Source organism: Homo sapiens, chromosome 13 (genome assembly GCF_000001405.40).
Source record: "Homo sapiens chromosome 13, GRCh38.p14 Primary Assembly".
NCBI classification, from domain to species: domain Eukaryota; kingdom Metazoa; phylum Chordata; class Mammalia; order Primates; family Hominidae; genus Homo; species Homo sapiens.
In genome coordinates, this window is record NC_000013.11 from 87,451,304 (window position 1) to 87,470,877 (window position 19,574).

General features: G+C 31.7%; 1 long non-coding RNA gene across 1 annotated transcript in view; it reads right to left on the minus strand.

Annotated features, from left to right (window-relative positions):
• Positions 1–19,574, minus strand: part of MIR4500HG (MIR4500 host gene) — a 226,977-nt gene that overhangs the window by 7,317 nt on the left and 200,086 nt on the right. The window contains exon 4 of the long non-coding RNA NR_033829.1: positions 9,621–9,666. This is a non-coding gene — a long non-coding RNA (MIR4500 host gene). The remainder of the gene's footprint in view (positions 1–9,620; positions 9,667–19,574) is intronic.

Here is a 19,574-nt window from a genome sequence, read left to right on the forward strand (position 1 = left end):
ATCACCCACAGATATATTAAGAAAGTCTCAACATCTTTAGTCATCAGGTAAATGCAAATTAAATCCCCAGTGGGACATCATCTCAGAACTGTTAAAATGGAAATTATATAAAAAAAAGATAACAAGTGTTAGTGAGGATGTGGAGAAAAGTAAACCCTTGAACAATGTTGGTGGGACTGTAAATTAGTACATCCATTTGGAAAATAGTATGGAGGTTACTATAAAACTAAAAATATCACTACCATATGATCCAGCAGTCCCACTACTAGCTATATATCTAAGGGAAATGAAATTAGTATATCGAAGATATCATTACACCCATGTTCACTATAGCATTATTTTTAATAACAAAGATATGGAATCAACTTGTCTATCAATGGATGAATAAAGAAAACATGGTATACACACATAAGGGAATATTGATCACTTATAAAAATAAATTAAATCCTGTTATTTGTGACAACATGGATAAACCTGGAGGACATTATATTAAGTGAAATAAACCAGGCACAGGATGATAAATACAAATGCTCAAGTATATGAGAAATTTTAAGTTAAATTTAGAAGAAGAATGATGGGTACCAGGGGCTGTTGGTGGGAGCACCAAGTGGCAAAGGAATTGAGGAAATGTTGGTCAAAGGATACAGAATTTCAATTAGATGGAAGGGAAAAAATATGTTGCTTTCTCAAATGTTTACTGCAGGCTTAGATATTGACTTAGGGTTAAACTTAGTGCAAGAAACAGTGAAGTTCAACATAAGTTTTCACATAACAGTAGTGTATTTCTTGTTCATGTAAATGAAGGAAGGTGGAAGAACAAGACTAGGATTGTAGCTCCCCAATGCTCAAGAACACAGGTTCTTTCCAGTTCATCATCCTGACATCCCCATGTGTGGGATTCATTATTATAATCTATTGGATGGCTACTGGTGACTGTAATATTTAATCTGCATACCAGAAAATAAAGTAGAAAAAAGAAAATGAGCCATGGGACCTGCCTAATGACTAAATGTTTTTAATGAGCACTTTCCTACATCTCATTGACTAAAATGTGGCCACATGGAAATATCTCCACAGAAAGGGAGTCCTGGAAATCTTGTCTTTATAACAGAAAATCATGTGCAGTCTCTGCTACAGTTTACCAACCACATGGTTGCATGGTTTCTCAAAACAACAGATTGAGGGAGATTGGCACAAACCACTTTTGCCATGTGAACATTCTTTCCCTGAGCTATAAGTGTAAAACATTCTACCTTCTCGAGGAATTTCTAACGGACAAAAAAAAATATGCTTCTGTCATAATTTTCCTTTAGTTCCTATTCATTTATTTTTATGAAATTAATCCAATTGACAAATGTGATATATTTGGAATCATTTTTATTAATGTGTATAGAATGCCATTATTAAAGCAAGAAACAGACTCTGCTCCTCATTCCTCATGAAGTAGTGAGAGGAAGAGTGTCATTTTCTATACTTTTTCTTCCCAAATAAGAAGCACATGAGGAAATGTCTCCTACTTCCTCATGTGCAAAAGTAAGATACAACCCAAAAGACAGGAAAAGTGGTATGCAAAACTTCCAAAGCTAACTTAAATCATAAAGCAAAATTCAGACCATTTCCATCAACATAATTTTGGATTAATTTCAGTTATTGCTTATATGAAGTTCTGGATAAACAGGAATTTAAAAACACACACATATGCAATTTCTTAGTATAATTCAAACAAAATTCATACACCATTTAATTTCAAATTAAATATGTGGAGTATTATATTAAAAAGACACAAAAGCCATTAAGAAAAAAATTCAGAAAGAAATATGAGAAAACATATTTATGCTAATTTGATGCTGTTAAATTCCTAATAGTCACAGCAAGAACCGCTAAAAATTATGACCATTTTCTAAACTAAATATTATACCTTAAAAAGACTGTTTCATAAAAAATTTGTTTTTTATGCATAATTCCAAGCTCATATTTCAAACAACATCCTTACTCATGGATATGGGCAATATGGTGTAGCTTCTTGCTGACCATCCCTGCAATAATTCACAAGTTTCAGCTTCTACAGTGCAGCTGTGAAGTCAGTAGGGAGTCATTCAGTTATTTGTGATTTTAGCCATCTGTCAGCTAAATCCAAGCATCAAATGCAAAATTGTACACATGGGGATATTATGGGGATTTGTGTCTCGCCCTAGAGGATATTGGATCTGCATACCTACAAAAGATCCATAAATGATTATTTGCATAAGAGACATCTATTCCTTTTCCACTAATGCTTATGCTATGCTAGGTCTGAGAATTTTCAAAACAGAAGGAGTCCCTGTAATCATGAAAAAACTGAAAATGGATCCTACAGATTACTTTGGCATCTTCTTTAGAAAATGTGTGATTTCTGAGCACAGCATGACATTAGGATGAATACTACTTCTTAATTGAAAATATTTTACAGTACCAGAGGAAATAAAATTAGATTGAAAATTATTCAGATCCATATGAATTTAAGTGGAAGACTTCAAAATAAATAAACATTTCAGAGGTCTGCAACTATGTAAAACACAAAAACATACCTCACTGATTGTACAGAACTACTTGTTAGCGTAATTCTTGCAGTGTATTTCAATTTCAGAGAGAAGAGTTATGTTAACTGCAGTATTTACCACTTACAAGCTTTCAGTCACATATACTGTGAAATTTTGTTTTGTGTATAATTAAGAAAAATATATGGATCATTTATTCCATACATGATACTGTTTCAACACTTTCAGTTTACAGTCAGCTAGAAATTTAAAGGATGCCTGGCTTCTAATACTAAAAGGTACATTTTAAAACAGTTTTGAGATATTGATTCTTCTTACCTTCTTGAAATGTTTTTTACTTTATTTTCCTAGCATCATATAATATAAAGGATCATAGGCCAGAAAAATTTAATTAGCCTTATAGCCTTCCACTTATGAAATGTGTGCTTAGATTAGTAATTTACAACTCAAGAATCAATTTCTTCATCTGAATTTCAAAAGTAATGACAAGAGCTCTTAGAACTCAAGTAAATGGTAAACAAGGAAACATATCCGTATATGTTTACGCTATTGATAATAAAACAGCAGGTCCCTTACTCTCTTTAGTTAATATTGGCACAATTAGTGATAATATATTAAGATATTTTCCATAATCAGATCATATGTCATACTGAGGTGTAAAATCAATTTCCCTTTACTCCAATCTAAAATACTGAATATGCATAAGACTGAATTTTTGTGTCCTCACAAAATTCATATGTTGAAATCTAACTCCTAATGTGAAGGTATTCACATGTGAGGTCTTTGGAAGGTGATTATATCATGAGGATAGAACTCTCATATGTGGGATAAATTATCTATGAAAGAAGACTCCAGAGAGCTCCCTTGTCCCTTCTTCCATATGAGGAACATATTGAGAAAAGATTCTATGAACCAGGAAGCAGACCCTCACCAGATATGAAATTTGCAAAACCCTTGATGCTGGACTTCCCAGCCTCCACAACTGTGAGAATAAATTTTTGTTCCTTACATACCACCTGGCCTGTGACATTGTCTTATCACTACTCAAATGAACTATGATACCATCAATAACAATGCAGGAATTCTACATACGTATTTTTTTAATCTTACTAAAGGAAACACCAATTTTAAAAAGAAATAATTTAAGATGGTACTTAGGAGAGATCTTGAAACAACAATACTTCTATTAATAAATAATTATCTTTTTTGGTTATCCATTAAATGTTTTAGGAACATCTTCACTCCAATTCAACCCATTGTTTTTGTAGACAAGATTGAATTTTGCTGCACAATTCTCTATTTATGCATGAAAGCACTTCCAATTTGGTGGTGATAGTCCTGAACCTTTTCCATTTTGAATAAAAATAAAAAAAAATTGAGGGCAGTAACTGACCCAATAGCTTAGTAACTATCATGATTTTCTACTATAGAGTTAAAAGCCCATTATCAAAATTGATGGGATAGGGAAGCCATTTGGATACTACCTCCGTATTTAAAAACAACAAGAAAAAACATTTTTTTCAATGTATTCTAACCTTGAGAAATTAAAATAAAAATAAGCACATCATGATTTAGAGCAGAAATACTAGAACAGAGACAGAACTTATCCACCAAGTTAGAACCTTAGAATCTGAAATAGTTTAACTGAGAGGTCAAAAATCTGCTCTTCCATCTTCTAATGGGAGATCTCAGGCAGATGCAAGTATTTAGGTCAAATTACTTTTAAAAACTTGGGGCAAGTATTAATGCTCACCTATTTAGGTGTGCTAGATATTGTTGCTCAATATATAGTAAGGTCTAGCTATGGGCAGTAAAGATGTTCTGAACTTGATACTGGAGGTTTATGCAGATGTAGAAGTAAATAGGGTCAAGGTTGGGTATTTTCAAATAGAAATAGTGTGATGTTCCCCCCTTCCTGTGTCCATGTGTTCTCATTGTTCAATTCCCACCTATGAGTGAGAACATGCGGTGTTTGGGGTAACTAAGCTGCACGTTGTGCACATGTACCCTAAAACTTAAAGTATAATAAAAAATAGAAATAGTGACTGTAGATACTAATTTGTAGATCCATTGCCTTTGTCTGATTTTATAATTTCAATGAATACTATGTATAAGCAGTGTGTAATGCCCCATCCATTTTAAGGAGCTGTCTGTTTGTACCTCAGTTCCAATTGGCCAACCTATTAGGAAACTGGAATTGTTCAAGGCAACCACAATAGTAAACATTGAAAAATACACAATTCCAGAGTTAAAATTCTTAACTCTGATTAAAGAAATGTTTGTAGCAAATGTTTTTATTCTCAGTAACTCTTTTTTTACCTGACTTCTGACTACTATGCTAACCTGATACTTTTATGCTAGAAGATATTTCATATAGTTAGTTATGGTCCATTTGAAAGACCATTGATAGGTTGTTACTAGGCATGGCCAAAAATACTCTCATCAATGAGGCAATGTCATCAGAAATTTTTAAGGGTAGAAATACTGATCATGTTCTGTGCAATGTTAGAGAGGTATTATTCAGGAGAGGGCAACTCAATGAAGTTTACTTGGAAAGTAGCAGTGGTGTATTCGAAAACCTCTAAGAGAAATAGCTGGCAAAAGGAACTGCCACATACACAGGTAGGTTACTTTACTGTCATTGGGGCCGAATATAGGGCAACCAGAAACCTTCCTGCCACCCTTACTACATGGTCTGAACATTATGTTTCTTTGTCAGTAGAAACAAAACACTGCCCATTTAACTAATAGGAATGCCTGAATTAAGAGTCACTGATTGGCTGGCTGAGAGGCTAAGTTGGAAACAATTTCACACTGAGTCCTCAACTTATACAGGTTCCACCTGAAAGGCTTCCATAATCTTAAATTACACTTTCTTTTCAGAAACACAATGCGTGATCATAGAATTGTACTTCTATGTGGAAGACAGAAATTAAAGTGTTTCCTTTCCTAAAACATTGTGAACTATAATTTGGGAATGATCATAAGAGAAATTGAATTATTTTAGGAAACATCATCTTTTGCTCCTGTAGTCCTAAGATGACTGTAAAGATCTCTCTAAGGACCATTCTTGGTTAATTGGTGGGGTTTCTATAGGGATTACTATATTTATAGTGTGTATTTTATAGGAAGTAATCCCTACAATGGAAGTCATGTAATTGGACTTTAAATGCTGTACTGAACAAACTAAATGTATTTGGTTCCATCTCTGTCACAAAAATTAGAATGGACAATAAAGTGGCGTACTCAAAAAATTATCCAGAAGTAAAGACAGTGTAGAAAGAAAAAGTGAATATTTTGGGGAGAAAATTTTCAGTGGGCCTCTCTTGTGTCTGCTGCTTTGCAAGTAAGGAACCAGCTGCATTTTGTTCTGGGAAATCTTTATAAGAATGTTCGTGTAGGGATGTAGGGAACTGCCTAGGAAGATAGTGTCTCCTTCAGGAACAAAGAAAACATTTGCTTACAGCTTGGAAGATAAGAGATCATCTATCCCTTTGGAATAAAGAGCAGAAATATTTACACACGAAATATTCAGATTGCCTAAAATCATAATTCCTTTTATTTAAAAATTCCCCTCTGCATCGGCATGTGTCTGCTGGATCTCCTTCCAATCATTCTATACAACCCCTGATACTCAGGTTTTTGCTCTCACTGGGAGTAAAAATATTTCCTTCTGTCTCTGACCAAGGAATCTTATATCTTCTACCAGGATCCATGAAATTTTGGCAGGCATAAGTGTTTGTTGCAAATAGTGCAAAATCTCAGATTATTCCAGATCGGTACAACTAAAAATTCCATCTGGATAATTCAGATAAAAAATGGCACCCTTTCACCATGACACGCCATTGTCTCAATTGACCAATATACAACTACAGTTACCATTAAGTTCATGATTTATAGGCTATAAGTTAATAGATTAATTGGATAATTATCGTAATTGAACATTATACCACTGGCAATGGCAACAGCTTTCTTAAACCATCACACAGAAAGAACTATTGGTATTCTAAATAGTATGCAACAAATATATTTAAAAGGTAGGATTGCTAGAGGTACAGAAGCTGATGATGATTAATGGAAACACTACAGTAAGTCTCAGGGCAGAACATCTCTGAAAAATGTAGTCTTCATATTTAATATAGAATTAGCTGATTAACATAATTAAAAATGGAATTTGACTTTCTGTAGCAACTGGCTGGCAGTGGATAGAGGAAGAAAAAACATCATCAAGTTGTTGTGATAGGAGTGGATGAATAGTGACCAACATGACACCTGGAAATCAGTATCTATGGAATCCTGTAGAAGATACCTGAAATATGCTTACATTCACAAACCAGTACAACCTAAACTTGCTGGTCAGTATCATGTGGTCAAAGGATCTGTCACTGGCAATATGCGGTACATGATCAAAGTTTACTTCTGCTGCAAAGAATTGAAGAACGGTACTGTAATTTTAATTGATGTATGGCATGTAAAACATTGCTTTGCTTTCTGCTACATGTGTGTTATAACCAAAAGGTTATAATTTTATTGTCAAAATTAAATGTAATTCAGACTTATGTACAGCATGAACCATAGAATGAGTGAATATTTCTGGAAGCTTATTTAAAGCCTCTAATTAATGTAATACTTATGAAGAGTTACTGGCTAGAAAAAGACATTTGGCTTTTAAAATACCACATGCCCTATTATAATCTTACAAATATTCAAATGCCTATGAATAAAAACAAAAAAAATTGAGCTAGAAATACACAATTAAAAGGCCTTAGAAGGAACACAGTTATTAATAAAAATATTACAGCAATAACTCCTGAACCCCATTTTATGTTTCAAGTCCAGATGGTCATTGAGGTGTGAAGTATCTTTTTTTGAATAAAATTTTGAGGAAATTTTAAGACACATTAAAAACACAACCAAGACATATGTGTCAAAGAGATACTGACAGAGCTTAGAAAGTGTCTCCAGAAGAAAAGAGTTATCCAGAGACCTATAATCCATTCCGATCAAATCTCCTGAAAGATATGCTAGTAAAAGAGATTTAATAAATATACTATTTACTAATAGAATGTAGATTATTTGACTAGAAGTTCTTATGACAAACTTGTAATCCATAGATTTTGGAGACAAGGGAATATAGCTTCCTGTAACATGTCATGAAAGCTTTGGTATGTAAAATAAGCTTTTTTCTTGATGAAAATGGCTTTCTTTTATGTAAACAATAATAACATCTAGCACTTAGGAAACTCATATATCATATACAGCTGGACATCACTGTTTCCTAATGAGGCTGGAAGGAAAATAGGAAAAAATATCTGTAGCTCTAGACTTGCCATTTCACCTGTGCTTCACAACTACTTCTACTTTGAAAGTAATATTAAAGTTTGATATTGGGTAAGATCTGAGATTCCTGTATCTGACTTGATGATATGATATTTTCTGTTATCTCAATATACATACATCTCAATGTATAATTTTTTGAAAGGCATACACGTTACCTGAATGATACAAGTTTCCATTGGAGTTTTGTTTCATTGTGTTTTGTTTTTTATCAAGGGAAAATAAAGAGGGAGAAATAAACTGTCATTACTCAAGGAGAGCATGCACAATACAACTTTCCAGCTCTAATTCCAAAGTTTGATTTCTCTTATTTGAAGCTCGTGATATTTTGTTTGCTCAAAAATGGGAAGGATGGGGTGGTTAACAGACTTCTTGTTGGAATTATTTAACAGACTTATGTAATTTCCTGAGTCTGTTTTCTTTTCCATGTTTCAATTGTGTGATGGGAAAGTGAGTCATTTTTCTAAGGACTAAAATACAATATAAGAATAAACTTTATAAACCCAAAGAGTTTGAAGACAAGAATATCTGACCAAAAATAGACACATTTCCCCTTCATTGTTGTCATCTGCAAACACCCAAGACATTTTTCTACTTATGAGGTTCTTGAGTCTTGGTTCACACTATTTCTTTCTATCCCTTTTCCTCCATGAGATCCATATCCATATGGAAAATTTGCCCATAATTCTGGTCTCCAAATTTGTGTAGCCCATCAACAAAATTATACTTTATTTTCCACCTTTATCCCCCAATCTCATAGACAAACTTTTCAACCTGTCAGTATAATAAATAGCATAATTTCTGAAATATCTAATTCAAGTATCCTGTGATTTGAAACACCCTCCTATATTTCTTGTTCACTTAAGTGGTAACACTTTCAAAATCTCTATCATTCCAAGACACTAAAAGTTTTAAAAGAAAATGGTGCTTTCATAGATTTGGTGCTAAAACTCACTTTGTGGTAAAACCTGACATGATTGACTTCATTCATCACGTTTTTATGGTCATTATTTTTCTTATTTGATGTGACTATGCATTTGTTCAGAGCAGAAAAAGAATCATATTTAATTAGCAGGTTCTTCTCCAATCCTTCTTGGAGATGTTCCATAAAAAACTTAATTATTTAAGTCTAAATCATGCTGAATTATGAAACAAATTTGGTTCCAAGGATTTCAGACAAGTGATTGTATACCAGGAATACAATATTTATTTGAACTCGCCAAGACTTAAAATCCTGCGTTCAGCTACTTTTTATCTTATTATCACCATACATCATCTTTCATGCCTCCTGTTTAGAATAACAAGTCCATCATTACAAGAAAAAGTTGCAAACACAAGGAATGTTTTCTTCTCTTATTAACAAAACAAAACAGATAACTTGTCTGTGTTTTTCCTGGGTGCATCTCTGCAGTTGAAATATCATGACCACCAGTCCTCTTTAAATTCATCTCAAGAGAGGAAACCACAGACACTCAGCTTGCCTTCTAGCAATGGTAAATTCCTTAAGCTAAGTGTTTCCTAATTGCTTTATTCTCCTTTGAACTCACTCAGTTTCTCTCCTGTTGCTCATGATGGATAATCAGATGTGCTTACCTCCACCGATTTATTATCCAGCCAATTGAAAGGCTCAAATAGAAAATGTCATGCTTCTCCCCGACCAAACCATGAATTTTGTCTTCAGTTCCTCACTCTCATTCAATTTCAATTTTTTAACAATGCATAATAACCTGAAATTCTCCTACTTACTTGTTAATTTGACTGTTGTCTGTCTTCATTACAGCTGGATTAGAAACTACAATAAAGAAAAAAAAAAAAAAAGTTTCAGCCTTATTCCTTCTGAAGTTTCCAGGTCTAGAATAGTTCTTGTAACAGAGTAGGTGCTTAATTTAATAATATAATTTAACCTTAAAATCCTGTTTTATTACAATCTACTTAAAGTGGACTCCTAGTTGTGGGTGAATGAGTCTAATTTAAAATAAAGAGATAAAGTTTCTTTTTTTTTTTCTGTGCCAACAATCTTAAAATACAAATTTAAAACTGTGCCTTCAGTTTTGCTTCTCCTTAAATACAAAATTGGCGCTTGATAAAATAAGTTATATTTACTTTTCTTGGAAGCATTTCCGTTTGAATTATGTTGAATTACCTGAATCAACAGAGCATTTTCAAGATATAAAAATTTTAAAAAATTAGATGTATTTCTCATTGCCAGATTAAAATTCTCTTTATTACTTTAACACTTTATGAGCTTGTCAGGTATAGAATTTGGTTCTATCTGATCTGAAAGTTAATTACTGTTTATGTGAGAAAGTTGATTCACCTAATATTTCTTTGCACAAATTTGCTAGTTTTAGATTCGAGACTTCAAGTGTAAAAATAAAGTCGTTAAGTACATTAAGGACAATATGTTTTTCAAGGGTCCTTCCAGATGCTTGTTTTTGTGATTATATTCGTTAAAGAAGAAAGGAAAGAAACAAGAGAAGAAGAAAAAAATGAGAAGAAAGAGGAGAAAGAAAAGAAGAGTGAGCAGGAGGAAAGACGAAGTAGGTGCTAGAGAAACTAAAGGTGCATAGTCTCCAGCATTAGCTTGTGTACTGTAACACCACAATCATGAAGTTTTATCTCATAGCCTCTTTATATACTGCTGTTGGAATATATGAGCCTTTAAACACATTTTAGAAGGTTTTGTTAGCTCCCTAGATGCTGAATTAAGGGCCGGCACAATTTTGCATTGCATAAAACTGCCACCCAGGGCTCCAGATCCTTCTTTTAGTGTCCTTTTCCTCAGTCAGTGTCTCACATTTCCTGCTTATTCCCTCTCTCCCAGTACTTGACTGTGCTTATTACTGATTCACACTTTAGATTCAAAGTGGTTTTTTTTCCCATTCTCTTAACAAAACTGTGCTTTTCTCAATAACTGTAAGCCTTATACTAAGATAAAGCCTCGGAGTAAAGTTGTTCTAATTTCTTTGACCAAGCCTGGGGAAATGGAAGGAGAAAATAGAAAATTCAAAAGTTGCTCCCCCCCACCGCCCGATATAACCAGTTTCTTGACCAAAAAAATAGCAAGGTTGGGAATTCATATTTTTGCATAAGAAGCTATCATGCAATCAGGGATCATATAGAAAGTAAGCCGTTACAACACAGAATCGTATCTATTTCTTGGAACAAGAAATAGAAGAAACTGTAAAAGGGCACTGCAGATGGTCCCTTGTCAATTTCTAGCTACCAACAACCACGGCAGCAATTATAACATTTAAAATAGTGATTCCTTATAATTTACTCTATCATAGTAGTCTCCCCTGGAAGCACCCACACTTTTATCAGAACACAATAATTAGGCCTGCTTGGGCCTTTACCATATATTTCATTACACTTGAGTATACAATGCGTGAAGCACTCATCTGCCATCTTCACTGTAATGTGTGCTTTAACATCAGTGAGCATTTTTACCCTAAAGACAGTCAACATGTGTGTTTTGACTAAGTATCAAAACTTTTCTGAGTGTTTATCAGTTATCAGTTCTTCTCACAAATAATATTCTAAACAGTAAAACACCTGCCACAAAACATCTTGGACATTTGTAAAATTGCCCGAAGCTTAGGCTTACAAATTAAATAATAAAATCAGGCCTTGTAAATTACTGAGTACAAAGGCAGAGCGTGGGATTGTGGACAAATGTGATATTTTGAGCTATTATACCCTTTATATAAGTTCACCAACGTAATTTGATTTTACAAAGTAGGGATTTTATTGTTAGTAATGAATGAATTGACTCTCAGAGAGTTGACATCTAAATTGGAGTTCAATTCTTCAGATAACTTCCTGGAATAACCAATAGTAGTTCGAAGTAAAGTACTGAGACAAATTGAGATAAATTCATCAAAAGGAAAATAGATTGTAAACAACTAAAGTTACTTTAAGAACTTTGATTAGGACTACCAAAACAGAAGTTCAACATTCCTAAAATTGTAGGTTAAATTGTAAAGATTTGGTTGGTAAAATTATTTAAGCAGGACCAATAATTGGAGGAGTAATCAAAAATTATCTTTATCACTTCAGAATGATACTACAATGAGAGAATTTTCTAAAAAAATAAAAAAAACAAAAAAACATGGTGTCTGTGGCATCCATTCCTGTTTTGTGGTATTTTTATGTTAAATTCAGAGAGAAAACTGTCTTATAATGAAGACTGAAAAGCATAATCAGTGAAGATAAAATCTGTAAATGCATGGGTAAATCTAAACAATTGTTGACACAAAAACTGAAATGTCCTCACTGTATTGATGACTTTTAGATAAAATAAGAGTAGTGGATAATAAATTTTTGTTATTGAGAAATGTTTAAAGGTTTAAATATAGTGTGTTAAGGACATTGCATTATTTGAAAAGAAGTTGGATAAATTTACTTCAAATTTTAGTGAAATATAATTTTTAATAGCTATTTAGAGAAATTAAGTACAAAACTTCAAAATGATAGAAGAAACATGTAATCGGCATGTAGTATATATGACTGAAGAGAAAAAATAAAAACACTGAAATATAATATGGGGTAAATAAATCTTAACATATAATATTTCCATATTAATAAAAATGCTTAGAACTGAATAATAATGCAAACGTTACTGATATAGATTGTGGGATGCTGATCAAATGATACTTAGAAGAATATTTATCCTTTTAAAATCTTGTATATGAAAAAAATGTATTGCATTTAGTTACATTTGAACAGTATATAGGCTAAAATAATATGAAATAGGAATATCATTTGAAGAGATACAAGAATGATGCAAGGACCTTATAAATAGTTTATTGAAAAATTGCTGAAACAGGAAACAAATATTTAATAGAGATGAACAGCAAAGCCAAAAGACGGTTCTTTGAGTAGAAAAGAGCAGCGAACATTTGCGGCAGCAGTTTTATGTTGTCAATGTCAGGTTAGTTTTTGCTAATATTCCTTTGGAGTTCTATGTGATGTGATGAAAACATTTTATGTTCTTCCATTATTTGTGCTATATAATTTAGACTGACGTAATTCATCACTTTATATATTCTTCCCCTCTACACACCTTCTGAATCACGGTAGGTGGTAACTTTTCTTACCTTTTTATATTGTGGAGAGTACTCAAAAAAAAAAAAAAAAAAGATGGCTGGATCATAGGGCAGTTCTGTTTTTAATGTTTTGAGAAACCTCCATAATGACTGTACTAGTTTACATTTCTACCAACAGTGGGCAAGAGTTTGTTTTCAACACATCTTTACCAACACTTGTTATCTTTTGTCTTGTTTAATAATAACCAATGTGAGGTGATATATCTGATTATGGTTTTAATTTGCATTTCCTTGATTAGTAATGTTGAGAATTTTTTCTTATTCCTCCTGTATGTCTTCTAAAGGAAATAAAACGAATACGTTGAAGGGATACCTGCACACTCATATTCATGGCAGCATTATTCACAATAGCCAAGATATTAAATCAGTCTAAGCATCCAAGAAGGAAATCCCATCATTTTTGGCAACATGGATTAATCTGGAAAACCTTATATTAAGTTAAATAAGCCAGCCATAGAAAGACACATACCACAAGATCTCACTTAAATGTGGAATCTAAAAAAGTCAAACTCACAGAAGCAGAAGTAGAACTGGTGGTTAAAAGGGAGTTGGCCAATGGGTGGGTGGGTGGTTGGGGCAGACTGAGGAGATGAAGGTCAAAGAATACAAATTTTCACTTAGGCAGAAATAATAAGTTTAAGAGAGCTATTGTACAACATGGAAGCTATAGTTAATAACAATGGATCAGGTACTCAAAAATAACTAACAGAGTTAATGTTAAATGTTCTCACCACAAAAACATAATAAGTATTTGAGGTAATGCCTGGCCTGTGATAATTAGTTTGATTTGGTCCTTCCACAATGTATGTATGTATGTATATGTACGTATGTATGTATATGTGTGTGTGTGTGTATAAATCTCAAAATGCCTTATTGTATGTGATAAATATATAAAATTTTTGAGAATTTTAAAATAATTAAATACACACATATAAAAAGGATGAAAACAAAAAATCACGTATATTTTATTAGAAAGGAGAGCATAAAATAAGTAGATATACCTTGATTATAAGATTTTAATTATTAAATTTCTCTAGTATTAGCACAAAGATTGACATATCAAGTAATAGAGCAGTGGAGAACCAGACTCAGTCTTTCTATATGACAAGTTAAAGATTGGTCAATTACACAAATAGCACTAATAAAAGTCAATAATATGGATCAAAATATATCACAATCTTAAGCAATACATAAAAAATTAATTCAAGATGAATTAAAGACATACTTGAAAAGAAAATCTGTATACATTTTTAGAGTAGTAGGGTGTTATGTTTATGCTTTGAAGATTATAAAAAATGTATTTAAAATCAACACAAATCAAGAAATAAATGATAAATTAGAATACATCAACATTTAAAATTTTTGCTCCCAAAAAGATGTCCTAATCTGCAAGAAAGTATTTAACACATAGACTAGATTATTAGTCATAAAATTCAGAAAAATACACAAATCAAAGAAAAATAAAAAAATTCCACATTTGTTTATACATTTAAGAGAATAATCTCACCCAAAACAAGAATAAATCCCTATTTCCAAAAAGAAAATTTGGGAAAACAGCCTAATATTTAAACATTTTTGTAAATAAATATTGTAAAATAGTAATCCACAATGAAACTGAATAAACTGAAGCTACATATAACAAAAGTATCAATCAATGTTCAACTAAATCAATATTGAATTGAAAAAGCCGGTGGAAGAAGACACACAGATGAAATGTGTAGAAAGTAAAAAGTGTAAAGCATGCTTAGGCAAGAGATATAAATTTTTTAAAGTTACAGGAATGATTTAAAGAAAATCCAGGATAGTGGTTACATTAGAGGTGGAGAGGGATGTTATCAGTTAAGGTAAACAAGAACTTCAAATGCACATATTTAGTGTAATACTAAAATGTGGATATCAGTGCATTAATATTTAATGCATTATTCTTTTTGAATATTTAAAATATTGCATGATAAATTTTAGCTGGACTAATACTTTATATCTTCTTAGGTTATTCTGAGAATTAGTGGTTATATAAGTAGGCATAAAGCATGGTATATGGTACAATCAAAATATTTTTATTGTTATTGAAATTATGATGTTTACAGTTGTTTAGGAAGACTTCCTAGTGAATGGACTCTTATGATAGCCCATTTCAAAACCCGTGTATGACAAATTATATTTAAATATTTAAATATAATTTAAAAACACTTTTCTCATCAATATACAATTTCATTGCAATTTCAGATTATAGTAATAAACTTATTTAAATAATGATGTTAATATTACATTTAAGAAAACCTGTGTTTCTATTTGCTTTAAAGATTATTATTTGAATTTGATTTCAATTTAATTTTCAATCCTTAAAGTTGATAATATGTAGACTTTATTGATCTCTTTATTATGTTCTGCTTTCAAGTTAGAAGGTGAAAAACAATAGAAAAAATGTAATTAATGAAAGGATTTATGTGAAAGAAAAACTATGAAGAGCTAAAATACAATATAAATATGATTATAGTGAAGGAAGAATGTCATTATATTAAATAGACAGTACAATTTGTTTTTTTTCTTTTGTGGGTTTCTTGTACATGTGCCTTAATGTTTCATATGTTTCCTGTAAAAAGGAATCAGTGGAGAAAACATCACATAATTAGGATTTATAACCTATGGAACTAAAGACATTCAAACTATAGTTATAGTCTTCCATTATGGTTCCACAAACCAAAATCAAGGCAGAACCAAAGAACTCTTCTGTGTAATGACCAAGTGAAGGGATATACGTAGACAAGACAAGGCCATTTCAGAAAATAAATAAATAAATAAATAACAGTAAAATAGAAGCAATCTATCAAAATAATTTTTATGTACTGAACATTGGCTTGGAAACAACATGGACAATCAAGTTCATAGACAGACAATAATGTGCCAAAATTATTAAAACTCAGATAAATTGAACATCTTCTGGCCCCTTTAGGAAACTTCCAGTTTCAGCTCAGACATGAAAAGAGCTGGGAGGTCATCGCTTACATCCTTACAATAAACAAAGACTGGACAAAAATAAAATCAACAAATTTTCTTGGACATATCAGATAATTGACTTGGAAAAGCAAATTGAGGTGGAAAAGAAAATCACTACCCCAATATCTAGAGAGACAGACTGATCCAGGTAATTACAGCCAACTTTTATTTACCTGGGGTAGAAACCACTGCAAAGAAAAACTGTTAGGACATATTATATAAAAGTCCTAACATATATATTGTATCCTTTCTCATATTATTTAATAAAGTGTGAGCATTACAAAACAACAACAAACAATAGCAAAAACTGGAATGTACACTTAAATAGTAACTATGACAAATTGCTGAAAGATGATTGTGAACTGGGTGAGAGTGAGAAAATAATTGAGGGAATATTTTTAGTGGTCCAATACATTTTTATGGGCTTTACATCCAGAATTCCTAGGAGATTCTCACAGTAACCGTTTGAGAAAGATCTCATGGCTCTGATAGGGGACAATGAATAATCTCTGTGACATACTACCAGAGTTATCTGCAAAACAAGGCCTTCTCTTCAGAGAGAAAGACTGTATGAGCTTTGTCCCAGTCATTGATAAGATGCAAGAAAATGGGCAATGTTAGCAAAAGGATTTTAAACAAATCTAAGAAAGGATCAAAAGAAAGTCTAGAAATTCAAAAATAATGTAATCTACATATAGAATACGTTTTTGGACTCAATAGACTAGACATGACTATGAAAAGAATCACTGAATTTGAGTATAGGCCAAAAGAAACTTCCCAAAATAAAGTGCGAAGAAAAAGAATGAATGAAAAGAAGAGGAATAAAATATCCAAGAACTATGGGAAAATGTCAAAATGTATATATTCAAATGAAATAAAATCAGTATGTAGAAGAGATTTCTGCACTCCCATGTTTATTTCAGTTGTACTTAAGTAGCCAAGACATGTAAAATAGTGTCCACCAACAAATGAATGGATAAAGGAAAAATGGTATATATACACAATGGATACTATTCAGCCTTTAATAAGATGGAAACACTGTCCTTTGCAATAACATGAACAAACCAGAAAGACATTATGTTAAGCAAAAAACGCCAAGCGCATAAAGACCAACACTGCATGTTCTTACTTATATATGGGAGTTTAAGAAGTTGATCTCATAGAAGTAGGAAATAGAATAGTGGTTAGGAGGCTGGAGAGGGGAGGGGAGATGATAGATGAGGAGAGATTGGTCAAGACGTACAAAGTTACAGTTAAATATGAGGAATATGTTTTGGTGTTTATTGGACAGTAAGATGACTATAATTAACAACAATGTATCATATATTTCAAAACAGAAGAGAGGATTCACAGTGTTCTCACCACAAAGAAAGTTTGAAGTACTTAATTTTCTATTTACCTTCATTTGATTAATACACAATATAAACATATATTAAAACCTCACATTGTAACCATAACAATGCACAATTCTACGTGTCAATCAAAACTGAAACAAACCTTTTAAAAGTGTATAATGTCAAATTTGAACACCAGAATGAGAAGACAGAACAAAGCAGAAAAAAAATACATAAAATGCTAATAGGTGAAAACTCCTTTTCAAAATTGATGACAGACACCAAACCACAGTTCCAGGAAGCACAGAGAAATTAAAGCAGAATATGTATCAAAAAATACTATTCCTATACATAGCATATTCAAACTTCAGAAAAAAAAGACACAAATAAAATTTTGAAAGATACTGGCACAAGATGAAAATACTTTAGTTTTAAAGGGATAAAGATAAGCTTTAGTGCTGATGTTTTGTCAGAAACAATACAAGCCAGCAGAAAGTTGAGCAAACATGTAAAGTTGAAAGAAAGAAAAAAGAGAAAAATAGAGAAAGCAAAAAGAAAAATAGAATTCAAAATTCTATGTCCAGCTAAACTAACTTTCAAAAGTGAAGGAGAAATAAATGATTTCTTAAACAAGCAAACACAGAAGGAATTGTTTTCCAGCAAACTTGATTTGTAAAATATGTCCATAGACATGAGGCATGAGGAAATGATGTAAGTCAGAAAAAAAATTTACATGAAGAAAAAAATATCAGAGAAGAAATAAATGAAGATGAAGGAAATATTTTTCTTATTGTTATTGATCTTAATAACTTTTTAAAAGTATTAATATTAAGCTGAAATGTGTTGTGTGATTATCCATGTGATTATAGCACATGGATAAAAAAATGGATGAGTGCTATAACATGGGAGACAGGAGGAAGGAACTTGGAACTCTCCATCATAAGACACATAAATTACACACAAAGACAAGTAGTGTTACTTAAGAGTTGAGTTAGATTCATTAAAAATATTTTAAACACTAGCACAAACCAACATATATATTTTTTAAACTGTGTAGCTGATATACTAAAGGAAAAAGTAAAATGAAGCTATACAAAACACCCAAATGAAATCAAAGAATGCATAAATATATGCCTCTGAAAAGGTATAGAAAGTGTAATAAACTTGACTGTCATTAATCTAACTACATAATTTATAACTTTAAATGTGAACAGTCTAAATGCAGCAACTAGAGCTTATTATAATGAATAAAAAATTATCTAATAATATGTAAATTTGTAAAAGTACTTTTTAATATGAAGGGTCAGATAGTCTTGAAATAAAGAAATGAAGAAACATTTACCATACTAAAACTGATCAAAGGAAAGCTGGAGTCACTACATTAATTTTGAAATAGCAGACTTTAGAGCAAGAAGAATTATTGGAGATAAACAGAGGTGCAACATAATAATAAAAGTGTCAATTCTCCAAGAAGATATAATTCTAAATGTGTATACACCTAGCTACAGTGGTAAAATACACAACAAATAATTAAGAGAAGTTAAGACATAAGTAAACAAATCCACTATTATAGTTGTAGCTTTCAAAATAGCTGTTAAGAAGGATGAAATTGACATAAATGGCATTATAAGTCCATCTTATGTATATGATATTTATGGAAACTTCCATCCAACAAAAAAATAAATACACATTTTGCTCAAACTCACATAAAACACCCACCAAATTAGACCACATTCTGGGCCATAAATTTTATTTTACAAATTAAAAGAATAAAAATCATTCAAAATGTGTTATTAAACCACAGTGGTATTAAATTGTAAATCAATAAGAGAAGTATAGGTGGAAGACCCACATATATTTGTAGATTAATCAACTCGATTATAAGTAACAAATGGGCAAAAAATATTTTTAATTAAAACTATTTTGAAGTGAATGTAAATAAAAAATACAACTCATTAAAGTTTGTGTGATGCAACAAAAATCAATGTTTAGTAGGCAGTGTGTCATATTAACTCCATAATTACAAAATTAAAAACCTGTAAAACTTGGCAATCTAAATTAGGACACTAAAAGTAGCAATTTAAAATGCAAACAAGAAGAAGTAAAAAAAAAAAAAAAGTAAAGCAGAAATCAATGAAATTAATAATTGAAAAATAATAAAATCAACACAACCAAAAGCTGGTTTATTGAAATGATCAATAGCATCAATCAACCAGTAGTCAGACTAAGACAAAAAAAGATAACACAATATTTACTAATAT